The 21,460-nt window shown below is 40.1% G+C and overlaps 1 long non-coding RNA gene across 1 annotated transcript in view; it reads left to right on the top strand.

Moving 5' to 3' along the window:
- The window catches only part of LOC102724768 (uncharacterized), a 52,436-nt gene extending 44,591 nt beyond the window's left edge, over positions 1–7,845 (top strand). Inside the window, exon 3 of the long non-coding RNA XR_428752.5 lies at positions 7,005–7,845. This is a non-coding gene — a long non-coding RNA (uncharacterized LOC102724768). The remainder of the gene's footprint in view (positions 1–7,004) is intronic.
- Positions 7,846–21,460: the final 13,615 nt, after the last annotated feature.

A 21,460-nucleotide genomic window follows, 5' to 3' on the forward strand; every position in this document is an offset into this window, starting at 1 on the left:
TAAGTAAAAGGTGTTTGCTTTGCGTGTGTGTGTGTATGTGTTTTTTTTTTATGTTTGTTTGGGCATGGAATTTTTGGACAGGGGTTTACTATGACATATGGGAACTTCGGGAAGAGCCTCTCTTTCCATCCAGGGTAGGGGACTGTGGGCATTTCTGGAAGAAGAGGGGTCAATGGGGACCTCATCATTAGTCAGTGCACCAGAGTGTCAGTGCCAAAAACCTGATTCAAAGTAGCTCAAGCCATTAGAAGGCTAATGGAGAGGAGGGGACACACGATAAAAGAAATCACTGAAGAATCAGTTTTAGGACGGGGAAAGCAGAGCAGCCTTGGAGACCTGGTCTAGAAGGAAGGCGTTGAAAGCTGTCACAATTCTGTCTCTCTCTCTCTCTCTCTCTCTCTCTCTCTCTCTCTCTCTCTCTCTTTCTCTCATAGTCTACCCAGGGCCGACTCCAAAAGTCCTTTGCATCTCTCCTTCAGGAGACTGCTTTGTGGGATGTTCCTTACAAGCACGTTTATGATCTGGATCTATCTTTATAATTTCACACCTCACTCTGCAGTTCTGAATGCATTTCAGTTCCTCAGTTAAGCCGTTTGTTTCCTTCTGCACTCCCCTGTCTCATGAACTTAGCAAACTACTTAATTTTCAAGATTCCATTCCAATGGTAACTCCTTGGAGAGACGTTCTCGCAACACCATCCTTCTCCAGGCAATTTCTCCTTCCTGTGCCTCGCCATAACTTCTTGTTCAGTTATTACTATTACCAATAGTAATTAGTATTTAGTTATTACTAAACTATTACTGTACTTCTTATCACTGAGTTATAATTAACATGGCCATAATCATTTGTTTAATGTGTTTTACTGTCTCTGCTCCTCCAGACTGGTGGGTATATTGGGCTCTCTTCATCTTTGTACTCAGAGCCCATCATAGCCCCTGGCACCCCATAGATGTTTGTAGAGTGAAGTGAATAAATTAATGGGAGAGAAAGGAAAACCATTTAAATCTGATTAGGTTTACATGCACTTTAGAAGAGTTTACAGAGCATTCTATAATTCCAAAGCCTACATCTTCAAAACAGTTTGTATTGGAACCATGTTTGTGAATCAGAGAGTAGTTCTTGCACAGCAAGCCTCAACATGGTATTTAAATTAGTTAAGATACACCTAGCAGCTGATATGCTGTGGGAGGGTAGGAGGAGGTGCTTAGAACAGCTAAGAGATCTATGTGAGGATAAGAAAATCTCAGCATTTCAAAAAGAGGAAAAGGTGTGTTTTGCATCTTCCAGGGAAGTTCTGATTTTAAACATTTGGTCTCATTGTCTTCTTAAGCATACTTAAGCTTCTGTTAGATTGTTGTTGTGATACCTGGGCAAGAGAAATACGGTATCATTAGGTAAAATTAATCTGTTGATTTGCTAATTGAAAAGAGAGTCAGGAAAAGGAAGGTACAAAGAGACTGAATAGAATGATAAGAATTTATCCTAATTGGAACTTTCAACCTAGTAGAATAGTCTGACAGTACAAGTCAGAGAGAAGCCAATATATGAAAAATTTAAATGAAACATACAATGTTATCACTTAAGGATAAAATGTTAAAATATCACATTGTATTTGGGTACCTGATATCTTTTAAAAATGTTCATTTACACGAGGAAAAGCCTACAGTTTTCCTTTCAGTCTTTTTGTCAGACTTAAGAGAAACATGGTTCTGAAATCAAATAATTCTCATGTGTTGATAATGATTTTTAATTTTAGGGAAAAATAAAACTTAAGACAGTGGTTCCCAATTCTAGATGATCTTCTGAATCTACTGCAGAGATACTCTACTGTCCTCCTACCTCCTATTCTCTTGCTAGATTCTAGTTCTAAATAGCTCTGAGGTAGAACCTATGTGAAAGGTTTTTAAGACGAAAAAAAGTTAACATTTAGAAGACTGAGCTTGTAAACTAGTGTTTCTCAGGATATGGACTTGTTCTAACCCAATCAAAGTCACCTGGGTGCTTAAGAAAAAGCTAATTCTCAGGCTGTGGTGAGGGCCTATTGAATTAGAGCCTCTAGATGGAAAAGTCAAGAATCTGTACTTTACATATGTTCCCCAGATGATTCTCATGCACATCAGTATTTGAGATCCGCAAGTAATTGGTTTCTAATTTAAAATAAATAAATATTGATGACTATAAGCATCTACCTTATAATATACATAATAATATCTTGATTAAGTAGGATGCTCAGAAAATTGGGAATTCTAGTTAGTTTAATTTTGTGTCAAATTAATTCTGAACTGAACTAGGAGAGCTGTCATCTTTTGGAAACTAATCATAAATTCTGACATTTCTAGGAAGCTGATGTTATAAACTCACCATGGTTCCATTTGTGCACAGGACCCATGAGCCTCTAGGGAAGTACTACCCTCAGAGAAGAGAATATGAAGAGTCCCCATTTGGCCCAAAGGTAATGGGCTGATGCCAGAAGGGAGGCCAGCCAAGGAGAGGGAGGTAGTAAAAATAAGAAGTTTATCCACCAGAAATGAAATTAGTAACATTTTCAGAATACCCAGGCTCCTGCTTTATATCACAGACCAAGCATGAAGGGGGTGATGGGTAATTTCCAATGTTGAAGTGGCTGGTGAAGTGCACACTATAACACAAAGAGAATGGTGGCTTCTACCCACAGACTTCACTGAGATGAAGTGGGAGGGGAACCACATATATGCACAGGAAGAAGGCCAGAAGAAAGTCCACTGTGGCTAGAGCATGAGGGGAAGAACATAGTGAGCTATGTGTGACACTGAAAAGATACTTTTTTCCTAGTACATGAGATGCAAATGCTGTGGACTTCCTGAAATCACTTGATTTTTGGAGTGGGTGGTTTTCTTGTAAATTACAGATGTGCATGCAACTGAAGAAATACTTCTTTCCTACTGCTTTCATGGTATTCATAATGCTTACGGAAACAGGGATTGTATATGTTTCCCTTATTAGAAATTGTTCTAAAATGCCATGTTCCTATCATAATAACTGGAGTAGAGAAAGTTAACATGCAGTGATAAGAATGAGCACAAGACTGTATGTCAGAAGCCCAGTATTCTAATACTGGGGCTCATTTCCTGCTGTTTGACTTTGAGTAAGTGTTAGTTCTTTTTGCCATCTACCTCCTAGGGTTCTGCAATGCTTAAGTTAAATAATAAATGGGAGAGTACTATACAAATGTAAGTTGGGATGATTGTAATTGAATTTACTCTTGATGGAGGAGTCTTGGTGATTCCCTAGAGCAGTTGTTCTAGGGGTTGTACCTAAAAGCCTGTGTAACTTTAAAAAACATAATGTATATCTGGGCCCTGACCCTGGATATTCTGATATGGGGAGGGAAGGCACCTACAACTGTATTTAAAATTCTTCTGATAATTCTTAGATAACACTAGAGATTGAGGGTTTTAGTGTAGAGATTGGTGGTGAGTGCACAGACCCCTGGCAACCCGAGTCTTGGCTCTGTTCTCAGCAAATATTTTTTAGCTGTGGGAGGAAGCTCAGCAGGATCTCGAAAATGTCGCTAAATTCTTCATTCTTCATTTTCTCCACTTGTCAAAGGCAGAGATGGGCTAACCAGTGAACATCTACCTTTTTAAATCCATGGACTTTACCCAATGTGAATTTTACTTAGAAGCTTTAACATGTAAAGCAGAAAAAAGCAGCGCTGTTTTAATTACTGCTCAGCAGTTCTCCTATGGGACTTCAAAAACCATAGGCCTGGATGGTTGATAACATCCCTTCTGGCACTAGCATCTTATTCGAGGCACAGAAAACTTACACGAATTTGTATTGGCCCTATTTGGGAGGACAGAAGGCCCATGGTGTACACACACACACACACACACACACACACACACACACACACACACTGACGACTGTGAATTAGGTGAGTAAGCAGGCACAGCTGGCCCTTTACCTGTTTGCTCTATTATCTTTCTCTCTGCCCTTCTTCTGCCCTGCTCTCTTTTCCAGATGCCTTTGCCAACTGGCTTCTAGCCATATTTGGCCAAAAGCATACAGTGGCAGGAGATTGAAGGATAGGAGAAAATGTAAACTAGAGTATTTCAACTTCTCTTTCTCTGCATTGGTTGATGTCATGTGCTTTTACCCATTTCCTGCTACGGGTTTTCTCAGGGAAAATTGTTTTCTACCAACTTGGGAGATTTCAGCCTCCAAATATCCCTTGACTGCCTGATTTATCGTCCCTTTTCACTTTGACTTTCCAATGGAAGAGTCAGATGATACATAGATTGACTTGCGTCATCATTTTAAAGAAATTCCATGGTAAGGGAAGTGAGAGTAACCCAAGAAAAAAAAATCCACTCCTAGTATATACCCAAGAGGAATGGAAGCATATCCATGGAGACTTGCACACCACTGTTTTTAGCAGCATTATTCATAACAGTCAAAACTTGGAAACAACCTAAAGAACCACCAGCTGGTAAATGGATGGACAAAATGTGTATATCCATACAGTGGAATGATATTTAACAACAAAAAGGAACAAACTACTGACACATCCTACAGCATTGGTAAAATTCAAAAACACGCTAGGCAAAAGATGCTAGACACAAGAAACCTCTTGTTGTTTGATTCAATTATATAAAATGTCCAAAAAAGGCAAATCTATAGAGAGAGAAAGTAGATTAGTTGTTGCCTGGTGTGGAGTAGGGGTGGGAATTAACCCATAAAATGGACATGAGGCGTCCTATTGGGGTGATGGAAATGTTCTAAAACTAAGTTGTGGTGATGGTTGCCCCCACTTCAAAAATGTACTAAGAAATCATTGAATTGTACACTTGATGTGAGTGAATTATATGGTAAGTAAAATATACCTCAATGAAGTCATCTTTTAAAAGGAGAAAGATAATAGGCAATAGCACTGTTATTAATCTAGGCCTTTTTAGATGCCAATTAGTTATTATGTCACTTTCAGCTACATTATTCACATATCTATGTCATTTTCATGGACTTTTGTCATAAAATAATGTTGAAGAGTGTCTCAGAAGTCTAAAGAGAATATCATCACTCTGGTACTCCTATGTCCCTGTCGGGACTCAGAAAACAATACCAAAAAAAAAAAAAAGGCCTCAGAAGCAGTCTAAATTTCTCTCTGACCTTCTCCTGTCCTCCAGCCTCTCATTCTCATTCTTCCATGAGGCTAGATATAGAAACTAGAATCCCTGTTCCCCAAGGTATGTTATGGAAATTGCAACCCCTTTTCCCCAAAGCCAACCATAAAACCTAAACATATCACTCTAACTTTTCCTCCACCTTTCTGTATGAAAACTGGCCATAAACAAATTATCTGATCTACCTTCTTTGACTGTAGGTCATATGACCCCTATTCCAGATGAGGATTTGCCACACACCCAGAAGGAAGGAATGCTGCTCAGAGAGAACGAGAAGAATCTAGACAGACAGGCCTTGCTGTGTCTCCCCACTCAGTCTATTAGCATTAGATCATACCCTTTTTGTTCCACCATATTTCTACATGGCTGTACTTACTTTGGTGAACCTTAAGCATAAAAATGGACAATTTCCCTTGTATATTTGGGTGTTTATTCTGAAGTCTACCATGTACACATTAGAAAAAGTTGTATGCCTTTTCTCCAATTAATCTACCTTTCATGAGTTGATTTTTCAGTGAACCTTCAGAAGGGGAAGAAAAACTTGCCCATTAGCCCCAACACACCCATTTAGTTCCATCAAAAGAGATAATATGATCTAATGTAGTTCAGGCTCTCAGACATATGTACTGATTAAAAATAGAAAATGATCAATGTGTTTGGAGGTTAGGACTTTAAATCCTCCAACCCCTAAATCATCCAGAAACTGGTGGTCTAATAGTGATTCTCATCAGAGGTTTGAAGAAATAATAACTGGTACTGGATAGCCTGCACTCAGAGGCTTGAAGAAATAATAACTGGTACTGGATAGCCTGCACTCAGAGGCTTGGAAGAGAATGCTTGCCTTTGTTTTCAGCACTCAGTAGCTGGGAGATAGGTGATAAACAAATGCTTTTAAAAGTAATTTCTGCCCAAATTGTAATAGCTTTAATTCCCATGATCTGAAGAAAAAGAAGCCCTCTTTATCTTGCCGTATTATGGCAATAAGGTGCTTTCTGTGAAAGGCTGCTGCTCATAACAACGCTCAGTGACTCACATAATAATTGATTCTTCCCACACTGAGTTTGTCATTACCTCCAGATTAAAGTCCCCTTTTCTGATTTTAGTGTTCACACATCTGCCATCAACAGTCCATTGAGTATTGGACTCTGCTCTTAGAAATGACTGAGCTGGATATTTTGTTTCTTAGTTTTATTATTCTTTCATGCTTTCTGTCTGGGAGGGAAAAAATAGTCCTTCACCTCCCTACACCCCAACCTGTACCTCAGCATGGCTGGAAAATGAGCGATTACTCCTCACTCAGCCATAGCTCTGTCATTAATTGAAGTACCTAAGGAAATTACTGGACTGTAGGTTTTTCATCTCCAAAACTGAGACTTCTTATTGTGCCTGTCTCCTTCACAGCATGGTCGTGAAGAGGAAATGTAATAGATACAAACATCTTTTTAAAATATTTCCTGGAGGAGAGATTCTGGGACATTTTGATTCTGGGCTGAAATCAAGCTGAGTTTCAGACACTTTGGGAGATACTGGAGGAAAGCAGACTAGACTTAACTGAAATTTTTCAAAGCTGCATTACTTTCAGGCTCTTGAAGCTCTCTGCTTGGTGCTCCTCCCTCTGGATTCTTTGCAGCTGATTGGAGTACAGGAAGGACAGCTGTAGGTCCTTTGGTAATTGAATCTTAAGGGGATTGACAATAGATGCCACTACATCCCCCTCCAGCCACACATTACTCCCACTAGCAAGATACCCATCCACAGTCCAAATCCTGTCCTCTGCACTCTTCTCCACTGCCTCTCCTCTTCCCTGCCACATCTAATATTCTTTTCATCTTTCCTTAATAGACGCCTAAATACCTGACGTGTGACAGCAAATGCCTGTTCCCATGGAGCTGCTGCTTCTGAGAAAGCTTGAAACAGACAAAGAATAAGGTAGAAATGACCTCCTCACTAGAGATGAAAAGAAGCTGTCCTGGTGAGGAAATTGGATCCCAGCTTTTGCCGCTAAGATTCTTCTCTTCTGCCTCTGGTTTTCTTTATTGTTCACCCCCAGAAGCAATCGCTCTCTCACAAGGCAACACACGCAATAGAGTGAACAGTGATTCTACAGTCTGATTCTGGAAAAGGCGACCACAGTGGAAAGAGTGATCCACACAAGTATAGGGCCTCCTGATTAAAACACTAAGATTTCATCTCACGCTGTGCCTTTATACTGTTGAGATACTAAAGAGGACACTAAAGATCAAAGTGCTACTTTACAACATTTTGAAGAAAACAACTGCTACCTGTGTATTAGTTTGTGCAGATGTGTTACACAGCTTAGCTGTGTCTGTACCAGTTTATTAGAATCAAAGTATTTTTAAAGTACCTAAGGCCAGGCACAGTGGCTCACACCTGTAATCCCAGCACTTTGGGAGGCTGAGGCAAGTGGATCACTTGAGATCAGGAATTCAAGACCAGCCTGGCCAACATGGTGAAACCCCATCTCTACTAAAAATACAAAAATTAGCCAGGCATGGTGTCACATGCCTGTAATCCCAGTGACTCAAGAGGCTGAGGTATGAGAATCAATCGTTTGAACTCAGAAGGAGAGGTTGCAGTGAGTGGAGATAGCAACACTGTACTCCAGCCTGGGTGACAGAGTGAGATCCAGTCTCAAAAAAAAAAAAAAAAAAAAAAAAAGTACCTAAAACTTGTGATATGGTTTGGCCTTGTCCCCACCCAAATCTCATATTGAATTGAATTATGGGGAGAGGTCTTTCCTGCGCTGTTCTTATGATAGTGAATGAGTTTCATGAGATCTGATGGTTTTAAAAATGGGAGTTTCCCTGCACAAGCTCTCTTTTGTTGCCTGCTGCCATCCACGTAAGATGTGACTTGCTCCTCTTTACCTTCCACCATGATTTTGAGGCCTCCCCAGTCCTGTGGAACTGTAAGTTCAATAAACCTCTTTCTTTTGTAAATTGTCCAGTCTCGGGTATGTCTTTATCAGCAGCATGAAAACAGAGTAATACAGCATGTGAGATACAATGCTGAGCACTGAAGAAACAAGGATGGCACAGCCCCTGACTTCCAGAAGCTCACACTTTAGAAAAGCAAGTGTATTAATAACTACTTATGTATAACATTTGTGTTATTTAGAAAATGCAATAAGGGCACAGATGAAGAGCAAAGTACAGTGGTAAAGAAGAGAGAGTTTGTGAGAAAGGTACAGGAGAAAAGACATTTATGCTGGGCTTCAAAGGATGAGCTGACATTTCAATTCCCATCCTTAGACAAAGCTAGGAAAGGCATTTCAGCAGAAGCAAACTGAATAAAGCCCTCGAGACCTGGAAGTGCATGTCATGCCCAAGAACCATGTAAACCTGAAAGCTTTGAGAGCTAGATAATATTTCACCAACTGTGGTCATCAGAATCACCAATATTTGGGGTGTTTGTTTAATTTTTTAGCTTCCTAAACCCTAGCACAAGCCCAATGAAGGTGGGAAGAGGAATCTGTATTTTAGAAGCAACCCTTTCCCCTCCAAATTCTTCATAGAGTGATTGTGATGAATAAAGGTTGAGGACCATCTGGTTTAGGCTGTTCTAGGCAGGGTGGAGATGTAGGGAAGGACACACAATAACCCTGTTACTCGGTTGTGCTGTGGTTATGTGCCTATACACTATCAGACAGACTGGTCAATTTTGTTCCAAATATGTTCAGTGTTAAACAGAACCCAGTATTGTAAACTGTAATTACAAATTATAAAACTTCTGTAAACAGAAGCCTACTTCTCATACACTGAAAGAACCAAAAGGCAAGATGCAACTGAGACCGTTTAAAAATGGTGAAATGTTTTCCAGACTCCAGCTACAAGGAGAATCCTCTTTGTAATGCTGAGTATCATGATTAAAATCTCCCACTGCTCAGCAGCACAAAACTGTCTCAAGGAGTCTCCAAAGAGAGTCATCTCAGAGTATCTCACAGCAGTCCTTCCATCCTCAAGCTTGGTTGTATCTCTACACAGGCCTACATGAAAGCAGAGACACTGCAAACAAGACAGGGCAGAGAGCAAGCCGGGAAGTTGGTGAACTTGGAATTTGATGAGCTCCTTGTCTGAAACATGAAGCTCAGACCAGAAGAACTGGATGCTCTAGAGAGAGATGGACCTCTCCTCAATGGGAATATCAACATCAGTACAAATTGATGATTCCAGTTAAGAAACAGACAACAGTAGTCAGAGCAGCACATAAAGCCAGAAGGAGGCAAAATATTGGTAGCCACTCAGAGCTATGCGCTTTCCCAACCTGTCCTCAGAGTGAACTGTTGCTAATTTCAGAGCCAAGTAGTAGTCCTACTACCAACCATCCCAATAATTTCACATACCAACATCCACAATTAAGTTACTGGTTTATAAACCATAAACCACAATTTATCTAGGGTGTTGACTTAATGTTTTTCAGCAAAGTTTTTTCCCTATCTAAGGTAACATTTCTCATATAATGGTCAAGGGACCCCTACCTTGAGATTGTTAAAATGAAGAGACTTGGGTACCTTTCACAACTCTCTGAGGTTAGGGCCCAGGAATCTGCATTTTCACACACTCCCTCAGAGCATTCTCTCTCACAAGGACTTTCCCTTCAGGGAACTCCTGTTACACTCAGTACTGAATAGTGTAAGAGTATTTTTGTTTTCCATTAGAATTTTGCTAGTGGAACTTTGATTGGCAATAGGAAGTGGCTGGAATAACATAGGGATTTTGGTCTGCATTGCTATCTAACTGCCTGGGTTCCCTGTGACATGTCTCTCAGGTGTCAGGTATCTCTAGCTCTCAGGTATCTCTAGCTCAGCAACTTTCCCACCCTCATCAACCTTCCCATCCTCAATCCACCCAACCCCACTCTCCCACATTAAAATCAAAGAACTTCTACTGTAAAGTCCCTGGTTAAACAATCATCTTCAGGTACTGTCAAAGTAAGATAACTAAACCAGGCTCCCTCGTTGGTACCAATCAGATTGGGTAGGAACTGGTATGGACATCAAACAGAATTGGCACATAACCAGGTACAGTTGCATGCAGGCCAGCATGAAAGTATCAGAATATTTGGTTAATTGAATTAAAAGAACCATTGAGTTATTCTGACATTGTGAAAACATAGTCAAAATTCAGCTCTTTACAATGCTTTTGCATCATTGGAGTTGAGTGCATCAGGGAGACTGATAAATCATACATGGCTCATAAAGACTAAGAGCAAATCATAAAATAATAGAGCTGGAAGGGAACTGAAAGATGACCCGGTCTGGGTTTTATTTTGCAAATGAAACAACCAGAGCCTGCAGAGGCCTAGTGACCAAGGTCATACAGCTCGTTAGTGGCTGAGAATCACAATGTCCTAACTTCTGGCTGAGGGTTTTTTTCTATGATGCCTCCCCTGAGACTAAAATAAATCCCCATTACTAAAAAAGCAAAATCATCTTGTTCTTTTCTTTTCTCTTAAAAAAATGTCCTCATCTTCTCGTTGAAGGACAAGAAAAAGTCACTAAAATAAAGTGTGTAAACAAAGATGCTGACTCATGGATCGAAAAGAAACCTTAATAATTTGGTGATCCCAGTAAATGTTCATGCATGCGTTCATTCATTCTGAAAGCACTGTGGAATGAGCTTTCTCCTCATATCCAGAGAGAGCATGAGATGCTCTTGGGAGATAGGCAGTGCCATTTTAGTGAGATGACACTGAAAAGAGCTTGCTGTTTGGCTGCCATGACCTCCCTCACTTGTCTTCACTTGCCCCATCTAATCTCTTTCATTTTCTCAAATTGAACTGTTCACCCCAGGAGGCCAGGCTCAGTCTCCCTTTTCACCATTCCTCCTGCCGTGCTCTTACCTGGTATGCCTTCCTACTTCTCTTTGGCTCTCCAAATTCTATCATTCAAAGACGTAGCTCAAGAGTCTTTGCCTTGTTCTTCAAGACTTATCTCTCTTCTTGGGTCACAAGGACTTTCCTTTTGATGAATTCCAGTTATACTCGGTACTGAATAGTGTAAGCATATTTTTGTTTTCCATTAGAATTTTGCTAGTGCAGGTTTGGTGGACAATAGGATGTGTCCACCTATTGGCTGAAAGAGCATAGGGATTTTAGCCTGCATGGCTATAAAACTGCCTGGGTTCCCCATGACATGTCTTACAGGTATTTCTAGCTCAGCAACTTTCTCACCATCAGCAACTTTCCCATCCTCAATCCACCCAACCCCAACTCCCCACCCCCTGTCAAAGCTATTCCTCTTCCATTGTTCCTTATCTCACTAAATTATGTGCCACCATCTAGCCAGAAACTGGTGGTCATCTTTTACCATTATTTCTCCCTTACATCTTAATAACCATAAAGTATAATTTTCCTTTCTAAATATCCCCAGCATCTTCCCAGTTCTGTTTACCACTACTCTTACTACCATTCTCAGGGCTGTCACTCCTTCTTCCCTAGATTATTATAATAATTTCCAAACTCCAACCTTGCCCTCTTCAATCTTTGCCCCATTCTGCAATCAGAATAATGTTTTGAAAATTCTCATACTGTCAAAAAGTATACTTCCCTTGATACTCTTACTTTCCTGCTTAAACCTTTTGGCTCTCAGGATAAAGTTTCAGCTCATTCAAATCCCTTTCACAATCAAGACTTTCTCCAGCCCTTTAGTCCCATCTCTTCCTACTTTCCCGCTATACTAGTCAGGGTTTTCCAGAGAAGCAGAACCAATAGGATATACGTAGAGAGAGAGAGATTTAAGTAGACATTATGGAAATTAGCTCATGCAATTATGAAGTCCAAGAAGTTCCACAATCTACCCTTTGCAAACTGGAGAGCCAGGAAAACCAGTGATGGCTTTCAGTCCAAGTTCCAACACCTGAGCACCAGAGGAACTGATGGTCTAACTCCTAGTTTGAGGTTGAAGACTTGAGAACTGGGGCAAAGTTCCTGAGAACTGGTTGGGGGAATGTTGATGCTGTTGCAAGACCCAGAGTCTGAAGGCTCAAGAACCAGGGGCTCTGATGTCTGAGAATGGGAGCAGATGGATGTCTTAGATCAAGAAAAGAGAGAGAGAATTCATGCTTCCTCCAACTTTTTTGTTGTATTTGAAACTTCAATGGATTGAATGATGCTCACTGGCATTGATGAGGGTAGATCTTCTTTACTCAGATTCAAATGCCAATCTTTTCTAAAAATAGCCTCACAGACACACCCAGAAGTAAAGTGTGTGTGTGTGTGTGTGTGTGTGTGTGTGTGTGTGTGTGTGTGTGTGTGTTTTGTTTTTACCCAGCTATCTGGGCATCCCTTAGCCCAGTCAAGATGACACATAAAATTCCCCATTACCCCTAACTTGAACTTCATCTCCAGCCAGATTGAACTGCTTGCACAGTGCACCAGACTTTCTATTGCTGTTAGAGCTTTGCACATGCTGGTTCCTCTGCCTGAAGTGCCTTTCTTCCAATGACTGTTCACTTTTAGTTTTTGAGGACTTAGCTTAGACATTATCTTCTTTAGGAAATTTCTTTGACTCAAGTGTTACTCCTGTGTGTTTTCATAGTATCCTGAGCTTATCTCTTTTTATGCATTAAATTGTGTCCCCCTAAATGATATGTTGAAGTTCTAACCCCTAATACTTATGAATATGACCTTATTTGGAAACAGGTATTTGCAGATATAGTAAGTTAAGATGCAGTCATTAGGGTGGGCCCTAATCCAATAAGACTGGTGTCCTTATAAGAGAAAGATGCCATGTGAAGGTTAAGACACACAGGGTGAATTCTATGTGATGACAGAGGTAGATATTGGAGTGATGTAGCTCAAGACCAGGAATCTCAAGGATTGACAGACACCACTAGAAGCTAGGAAGAGGCACAGAAAGATTCCACCCAGAGTCTCAGAGGGAAACATGGCCCTGCCGACACCTTGATTTCTGACTGCTAACTTTCAAAACTGTGAGATAATAAATATCTCTGTTGTTTTAAATCACCTCATTTGTGATACTTTTTTAGAGCAGCTCTAGGAAACCCATATATTCCTACTGTGGTACTTATCACACTATATTGTATTGGCTTGACAGTTTTGCTTATCTTCTTTTTTTCTCTTGAAAGGTTGTATTGAGTCTTAGACAACTTTGAAATCTAGTGCACTTCTCAGTCCCTAGGAAATAGTAGTTGTTCAATAACTAGTGGATGAATGATAAACACAGTGTTATAAAATGAACTAAAATATTATAATATCTCTAGTAAGGTACCTGACAAAGAGAAGTACTTGGCGAATGTCAGTTGCTTTCCCTTCTGCACCCTAATAGGTTAAAATCTTCTCAGGGGCAAGGACTCAGCCTTCTTCTCCCTCGTGTCCATTCTCAGTGCCTGGCACAATGTAATAGAAACCATAGGGGTTCCCCAACCATGCATATGCTCCTTCACATTCTTCAGCTTTCCTGGCACTTAGGGTTAGGGTCATGTATTGGAATCTGCTCAATATGCTATGTATAAAAGTGATATTAGCCAAATCCATCCTGTTAACACTCTGGGTTTTTTTTCCCCATGCCATGGTAACCTTGGGGTCCCCATATCCCAGACTGAATAGCACAAGATGAGGGACAGTGTCCTGACCTGCATAGGACTCACATGACTGAAAAGTAAACCTTTACTGTCTTAGCAACTATGCTTTAGGGGGTTACTTATGACCATGGCAGAGCCTAACCTATCTTGACTAATATACAAAACAATGTGAACACATGGGAGGTGCGGAGAAGTGCTTGTTGGTTGACTAATTAAATCATCATAACAAATAGGATATCAGAGAGTCCTGACTGAATAAAGACTATTTGAGAAATACAGGCCTCACTATGTTTCCTCTTGGCATGCTTGGCTAGTTTTCAAAAAGTGTCTGGGGCTTGAATGTTTTGATTGAGAAGAAGTTGCCCAGCCAAGACAGCTGCCTTGGTGAGGATGTCTCACCAAGACACTGAGGACTTGTCCATGTGCCTGGGCTTTAAAGGAAATTTGTTCAGTGGGACCACGCCTAAATGAATGCCACCAGCTTTGCCTTCCTCGTCTCTCTGCAGGTGAAAGGGCTATACTATTTATATTACATTTTTGTACAAATTGATTGTTATGCTGCAGCTCTTGTCATAAAGTTAATCAGGATAGTTAATTAGGACATTAAAATCTAAGCTAGAGTAATTAGCTGGAAATAAAGTAAATGTCTAGTAAGCTAGAAAACAGAGCATCACCAATAAAAGACACAAATTGAACAGCCATTCTCTAATAATGCAATTAAAATTTCATAATGCAAACAGAATAGCCACTTGTTACAAAAATGTGAATCTAAAGCTTTATTTGCACAGAGACATAAGCCCCCAGAACATCTGGGCAAAAGTGCTGGTGTGTAATTGGTGAATTGGATCCACATGACTTGACTGTGCATCCCATGTACCTGTGATAATACAGACTTGTTGACCACAGCGGTTTATTAATGCCAAGAAGGAAAAAGTCACCATCATTTGTTTATAATGATTGTCATAATGGGCAAGTGTGAGTACATACTGCTAAGAGTTCTCACTCTTAGTGAGAATTAGGACAGTAATAATGTTCATCAGTCCAGCTGCTTCTGTCTAGTTCATTCTCTCCACATGCATAGATGACAATTCTGTACCTTTTCCTCTCTTTCTAACCTCCAGCACTTCCTTCCCAACCTCTTGCTCAGCTAATGACAATGCTTCTTATTTCACTGAAGAAACAAAGGCAATGGCAGGAGAATGTTCCCACGCTCCCAATACCATACTTATCCACCTGTCAGCATCTGTTCCCATTTACTCTACCTTCTTTTCTATTACTATTGAAGAAATGTCTGAGATCCTATACCTGAGCAATAGATTCCAGCCCCTCTTACCACTCAAGGCATTGTCCCAGGAATCCTTCCCCCTGTCTCCTACATCAATAGTTTGTTTCTTCTCTGCTGGATTGTTCTTACTAATGTACAAGTGTCAAGAACTGCGAAGGGTCTGAGGTTTCACCCTACTTGCAGGCCACAAGTTAGCCTGCCACAGTTTCATGGTTGCTGGGAAAAGCCATAAGCCTCTTGGGTCATTGACAAAGGACTTAATTGCTGACAGCAACAAGAGTAGCCAGAGGATCAGCATTTTATTGTGCTGGTTACCTGAGCCCCAATTCCCACAGGGTGATGCAAAAAGGGCCAGGTGGTACTTACACACATAGTGAGCTGCATTGTGAGAGAGGAACCCTGAACTTGGGGAACCTGAATTATTTATTAACCTGGTCAGTAAACATGACGGCCTTTTGATCTGGAGAGAGAGGCCCTCTCTGTCTTCAAAGTTGTTCACTGTACAAATATCCTTGAAAAGGAATTCTAGGACCAAAGCAAAATCAATGTCTTTTATCATAAGACATGCAGAAATGCAAGAGACTCATGGAAAATTGCCTTGTGACAACAAGTATGCTGTAATTTTTCCCAGCATTAATGAAAACCTCTTTCCTGACCCTCAAATTTATCTCCTCTTGTTCTCTCTTGAATACACTACAATTAAGTTTTCATCCTTAGGCTGCTTTGTCAAGATCACCACTAATCTTTGTGTTGCTAAATCCAAAGCTCAGTTCTCTTTTCATATTTCTTGACTCCACTGCAGAATTTGATACAGTTGATCACTTCCTCCTCCTTGAAACACTTTCTTCCCTGAGCTTCTAGGGCAATCTTACTTTCCTGTTTTTGTCTTCTACTTCATCTACTGCTCCTTCTCAGTTTTCTTAGCTGTTTTTTCTTCATCTTCCATCATGTTGTAGCACTTCCAAGGTCAGAACTAGAGCCTCTTCTTTCTTCTGGCTGCCATATCAATATATGGATATCTGTCTCCAGGATATATACTTAGGATTATATCCTGAATATATTATATCCTTGGATATCCAGGATTATGGCTATAAAGCCATCAATGGAACGATGATGCTTCAGTCCAGACCTGTCCTCTGAAATTTGAACTACTACTGAATTTGTCTAGTCTGTGTCTCTTCTTGAGCATCTCTTGGATATCTCAAATGTGCAACACAGAACTCCTGATTATACCACCCATAAACCTGTACTTTTCCAAGCTTGCCTGACTTATCAAATAACAATTCCATTTTTTCAGTTGCATAGGCCAAAATCCTTGGCATCATTTTTGCTTCTTCTGTATCTTTTATATTTCACATTTCCTCAGCAGCAAATCCTGTTGGCTCTACCTTCAAATTATATCCTGAATTTAATCATTCCTCACCACCTCCGCTGCTATCGAAGTGACCACCCAGGACTAAGCCACCATCATCTCTCCCCTGGATTATTGTTAAGCCTCCTAAATGGGTTACCTTCTACTACTCTGGTTCCGTTTTAGTCTATGCTCAACACAGAAAATACTGTTAAAACGTTAAGTTAGTTTATGTCACTTTCCCTACTTGAAACTCTTCAGTAGCTTTCCACTACATTCAAAGAAAAGTCACAGTCTTTACAGAATCTTTTGCTCCTTGTTCAGGCTTTGATATCAGCTTTTACTACTTTCCCCTTTGCTTGCCCCATGCCAACTCCTCTAATCTCCTTCCGTTCTCATCCCCAAACATGTTCCTGCCTTACGGCCTTGTACTTGCTCTTTTCTCTGTTTACTATACTTTCCCCCCAAGAGAGACTCATGGATTCTTCCCTCACCTTTTTTACATCTTTGCTCAAATGTCACTTGAACATCAAATTGTAAAGTGGAGGTTCACCCCCACCCTGGACATTCCCTGTATACCTTGGAACCTATTTTTTCATCCATAACATTAACTAAAATCCAATCTAATATTAATATATACAGTCAATTCTCACTATTCACTGTGGTTATGTCACTGCAAACAATGAATCAGTGAATACTGAACCATCACGCTTTATACAGGTCTCTGGTCACAATGTTTTTGTCAACCAAACAATACATAACCTTGTTTTATGTATGTTTCTATTTAAAGGAACCTTACTTAATATATATTGTTGATTCATTAATATTGAACTCATGGCCAATAGCACTACCACTCATGCCTGAAGGAAGCTTATCTAACACATGTATTTTCTCCGTAAGTGACGTTACTGCCTTCCTGTACTAAGGAACACTAAACAGTACTTTAGCATGATGCTTGGGTGGGAACATTTTCCACAGAAAAATCATTAACACAAAAATGAAAGAAATGTGGGACTAAATGGACCAAGAAAATGATACTTACAGTATGAGGATAGAAACAGGAAGGCGGAACTTTGCCTTGTTTGACACCAGCTAGAGACATGTGTGTAAGGTAACTCAAGTTTTTCACTGCTCTGGCATGTTTTAAAATGACCACATGACCACAAAAATGCTGTATTTTAATCTGGGGTTACAAATAAATTTTAACACTTAGATGAATTCACAAATATGGAGTCCATGAGTAATAAAAATTGACTGTGTTTATTACATATATTATTTATGTGCCTATATATGAAACTATTTTGCATTTATTGTGAATTTCTTCCTGCTAAAATGTAAACTTTATGAGCCTGGGGATTTTTGTCTCTTTATCTCACTGATGTGCTCCCAGTGCCTAGAATAGTATCTGGCACATTCAATGTTGTCGAATAAATGAATGAAAGTTTCTTTCTCTCCAGGTTGGGAACTGCAGTGCTAATGAGGATTTTGAGGGCCAGGGATGTTGATGTTGGAGGCCAGAGCTCCAGGGGCACCAAAGCCATTAGAGTATGTAGAGCCAAATGTCCAGGAAATATGAGGTTCATATGCCAGAGAAGGAAGTCCAAATGGGTCACCAAACCCAAAGGAGGAGAAGCAAATCTGGAGGGCTAGGGATGGAGGCCAGGAGCAGAGCCCACAGAGGAATGCACTGAGCAGTGGGCTGAAAGACCAAATAGGAAAGCAGTCAGGCAAATCTCTGCAACTGCGGTTAATGTCTTTGGCTGGATATTTCATGATCATGATAGTGAGGTTTGTGAGAGAGCCAGCAATATGGAATATACCACTAGCTGTGAGCCGTTTGAAACCAGCACATGTGTCTGATCCATCTCTGTACCTCCAGCTTGTGGCAATGGCTGCCATATAGTAGGTATTAAAAAATGTTTATTTCATTGAGAAACAGCTATTACCTATCACAGTGTTCTTGGGTCAGAGGGAAAAAGAGAGTGTTTGCGCACATCCTTGGTCTCGGGGGTCTTATAAAAGAAGGCCTCCATTCAGCTTGGACTTCATGTTGACCAGGGCCTTAACTGGGTGTCCTCTTCCCTGTTCTCACTTCCACTCTACCTCTCTGAGCCAGACATCTCCTCTATTTCTGTAGACCTGCTGTGTTCTGCAGTGGACTCATCAAGACAAAATGTTTACTGAAGTCAATCAACTCAGTTCTCCAGGACACCAGTTCTTAATCTGGAATATATAAATTGGTCTCAAGTCTGTGAACCTTCTGAAATGAAAAGTGTGAAATATGTGTATGTGCCTGTGTGAAATTTTCTAGGGAGAAGATTCATAGATTTCACTAAGGGGCACTAATTCTTTAAAAAAATTTTGAGAACAATTCCTTAGAATGATTCTGATTGTGCCCACAAATAAGAAGTAAAATAAAATAACAGCACAGAACTCAATACAGTATTCCTAGGTGGTTGATTGCTCACTCATATAAAAAGGAATTCTAAAACTTCAGTGTGCGTGGAAATCCCTTGGGGACCCTGACAGAAGCAGAGATTTCTGAGACCCTGAAATTATGATTCAGAGTCCAGGTTAGGGTCCTGGAACTGGCCTTTTAAGTAGGCTTCACAGGAGATTCTGATGTATTCCCCAGAGCACACTTCTGATTGTCTAAGCTGTTGGCCAAGTAGAGACATGGCCGTCTTCCATTTTTGATCAGACCCTTTCAGGGCAGTGGGTCTGAACCTGGCTGGGCACAAGAATCATGCAGTGAGCTGGTGGTCAGTGGTGCTGATGGTAGTGGTTTTAAAATACAGATGTTCCGGCTGGGTGCAGTGGCTCATGCCTGTAATCCCAGAACTTTGGGAGGCCGAAGTGGGCGGATCATGAAGCTGGGAGTTCAAGACCAGCCTGGCCAATATGGCGAAACCCCGTCTCTACTAAAAGTACAAAAATTAGCCGGGTGGGGTGGCATGCATCTGTAACCCCAGCTACTCAGGAGGCTTAGGCATAAGGATCACTTGAACCTGGGAGGCAAAGGTTGCAATGAGCCGAGATCGCGCCACTGCACTCCAGCCTGGGTGACAGAGCGAGACTCTGTCTCTAAAATAAAATAAAATAAAATAAAATAAAATAAAATAAAATAAAATAAATAAAATACAGATGTTCCAGGCCATACTTGAGAGACTGTTATTCACTAGAGCTGTGATGGGGATCTAAAGATCTATACTTTCAAACATCTCCCAAGGTTATTCTACACACAGCCATGATCAGAACCACTGCAGCAGAGACCAGGACCAAAAGCATCTGTGTTTAAACAGTTCCACATAGTAGAGAATGCTTTCCTGTGGATCTGGTTCCAGAAACAAACTGGAAGTTTAATATTACAACCGAGCTTTGCTGAGAAAATATTTCTATTTTGTTAACCTTTGGACTTCTCTTTAAAAAGCAAGTAAGCAGGTAACAATTTAACACATAAATGTTTTACTTTCACAGAAGTCAGTGAAGGGAGACATAACCCATGAACTGAATTTCAAAATGGAATATTAACCAAGTAAAGGCCAAAGTGAGATTCATACGAGAACTTCCTATGGTATTATCCTAGCTCCAAGCAACAGTTTGATTAATGAAAATGGCTCAGTTAAGGAGCTGAGCAAACTCCCAGAAGGAACAATGGTGCCAAGAACTCAAACTTTTTAGAACACTATGTTTTTCAAACACCAAATGAGAACACTTCAAATGCATTATTAATGCTCAAAATCACCTCCAGTTATAGATAATGAATTTTCAGTAATTACCGTTGAGTCTAATAATCTCAAAATTAGGAAGAGAAGCCAAATACTCAGTATCCAATCACAAAAACACAAACCACTATGTACCAATCATATAAAGGACCAACTTAAACCAAACCCCAAAAAAGGTTTTAGAAGTATTTTATGAGACATTCAATTCCATTGAACTGACAGTCATTCAGAGCTGATGTATTATGATTCAAGTGAAATAATGTATATAGAGCCCTTATAATGCTACCCATTGCATAGTAAGTGTTTAGTAAGTTATCATCCTAACACCTTAAAAATCTGGAATTTTGTGGCAAGTCTGATGTGCATGAAACCGTCCATGTGATTTTGGAATGGGTTTTGTGACTGATGGTCTGGCCCCTACATATCATGATTAAAGTTCTCAGACCAAAGAGAAGTGAAGGCTGCCCTAGTCTACCCTAAAAAGATGGATATTTTCTAAAGTATGGAAGAGTCAAGGAACATATTCTCCAACTTAGAACACAGCTCTAGTATAGTATAGATTAAAAAAAAAATCAAGTGGTTTTACATTATTACTTCCAAGCCTCTTGGAAACTTGGTATGAAGTACCTGGATAGAGAAAAATATAAACCCTAGAAAGAAAGGCAAATGCCTGAGCACCCTGCATTTGTCTCAAAGAGTGTAGCATTTGGAGGAAAATCCTCTTGGGAATTTTTCCAGGCTTCTTCATCTCTTACTCCTATTTTCCATTGAAGCCCTTCACTGTCTTGTTTCCTGCCATGGCTGGGATTTAGTGCTTAAGGTTCTTTCTTGCTTCCTTAATCCCTCATCAGCTAAGATCTTGCTATAGCCTTCCTCTGAGCTACACCACACTAGGCCTACTGAATCAGAATCACATTTTATGAAGATTTCCAAGCCATCTGTATGTATAATAAAGTTAGAGAAGCATGGCCTAAGACGTATAATTTAGTTCCCTTTTGCTTCATGATTTCTGTGGAGAACCTTAAATTGCATATCAAGCAGTTTGTGGTTAATTCAGTAAACAATAGGGAGCCATGGAAAATTTTGAGCAGAAAAATGAAAAAACACATGCCTAAAATTTGTTAATCTTGATGACTAATGACAATCTTATTGCAGTAATGTTTCTAAATTACTTTGGCTTGTGACAGAAGTTGAGTAGAAGCTGATATCAGATATTGATATTAGAGCAAATGTGATGCACCATTTTAAAAAAATTCACTGGCTTAGAATGTTATAATTGAGAACGGAATACCTCGTTTTCTGTTCCAGTTAAGCCAACATTTACCCTCCAGCCAGAGGAAGTATCCTTGCGATAATATTTAATCATTTTCAAC

This window comes from Homo sapiens, chromosome 10 (assembly GCF_000001405.40).
Source record: "Homo sapiens chromosome 10, GRCh38.p14 Primary Assembly".
In the NCBI taxonomy this organism is placed as follows: Eukaryota; Metazoa; Chordata; class Mammalia; order Primates; family Hominidae; genus Homo; species Homo sapiens.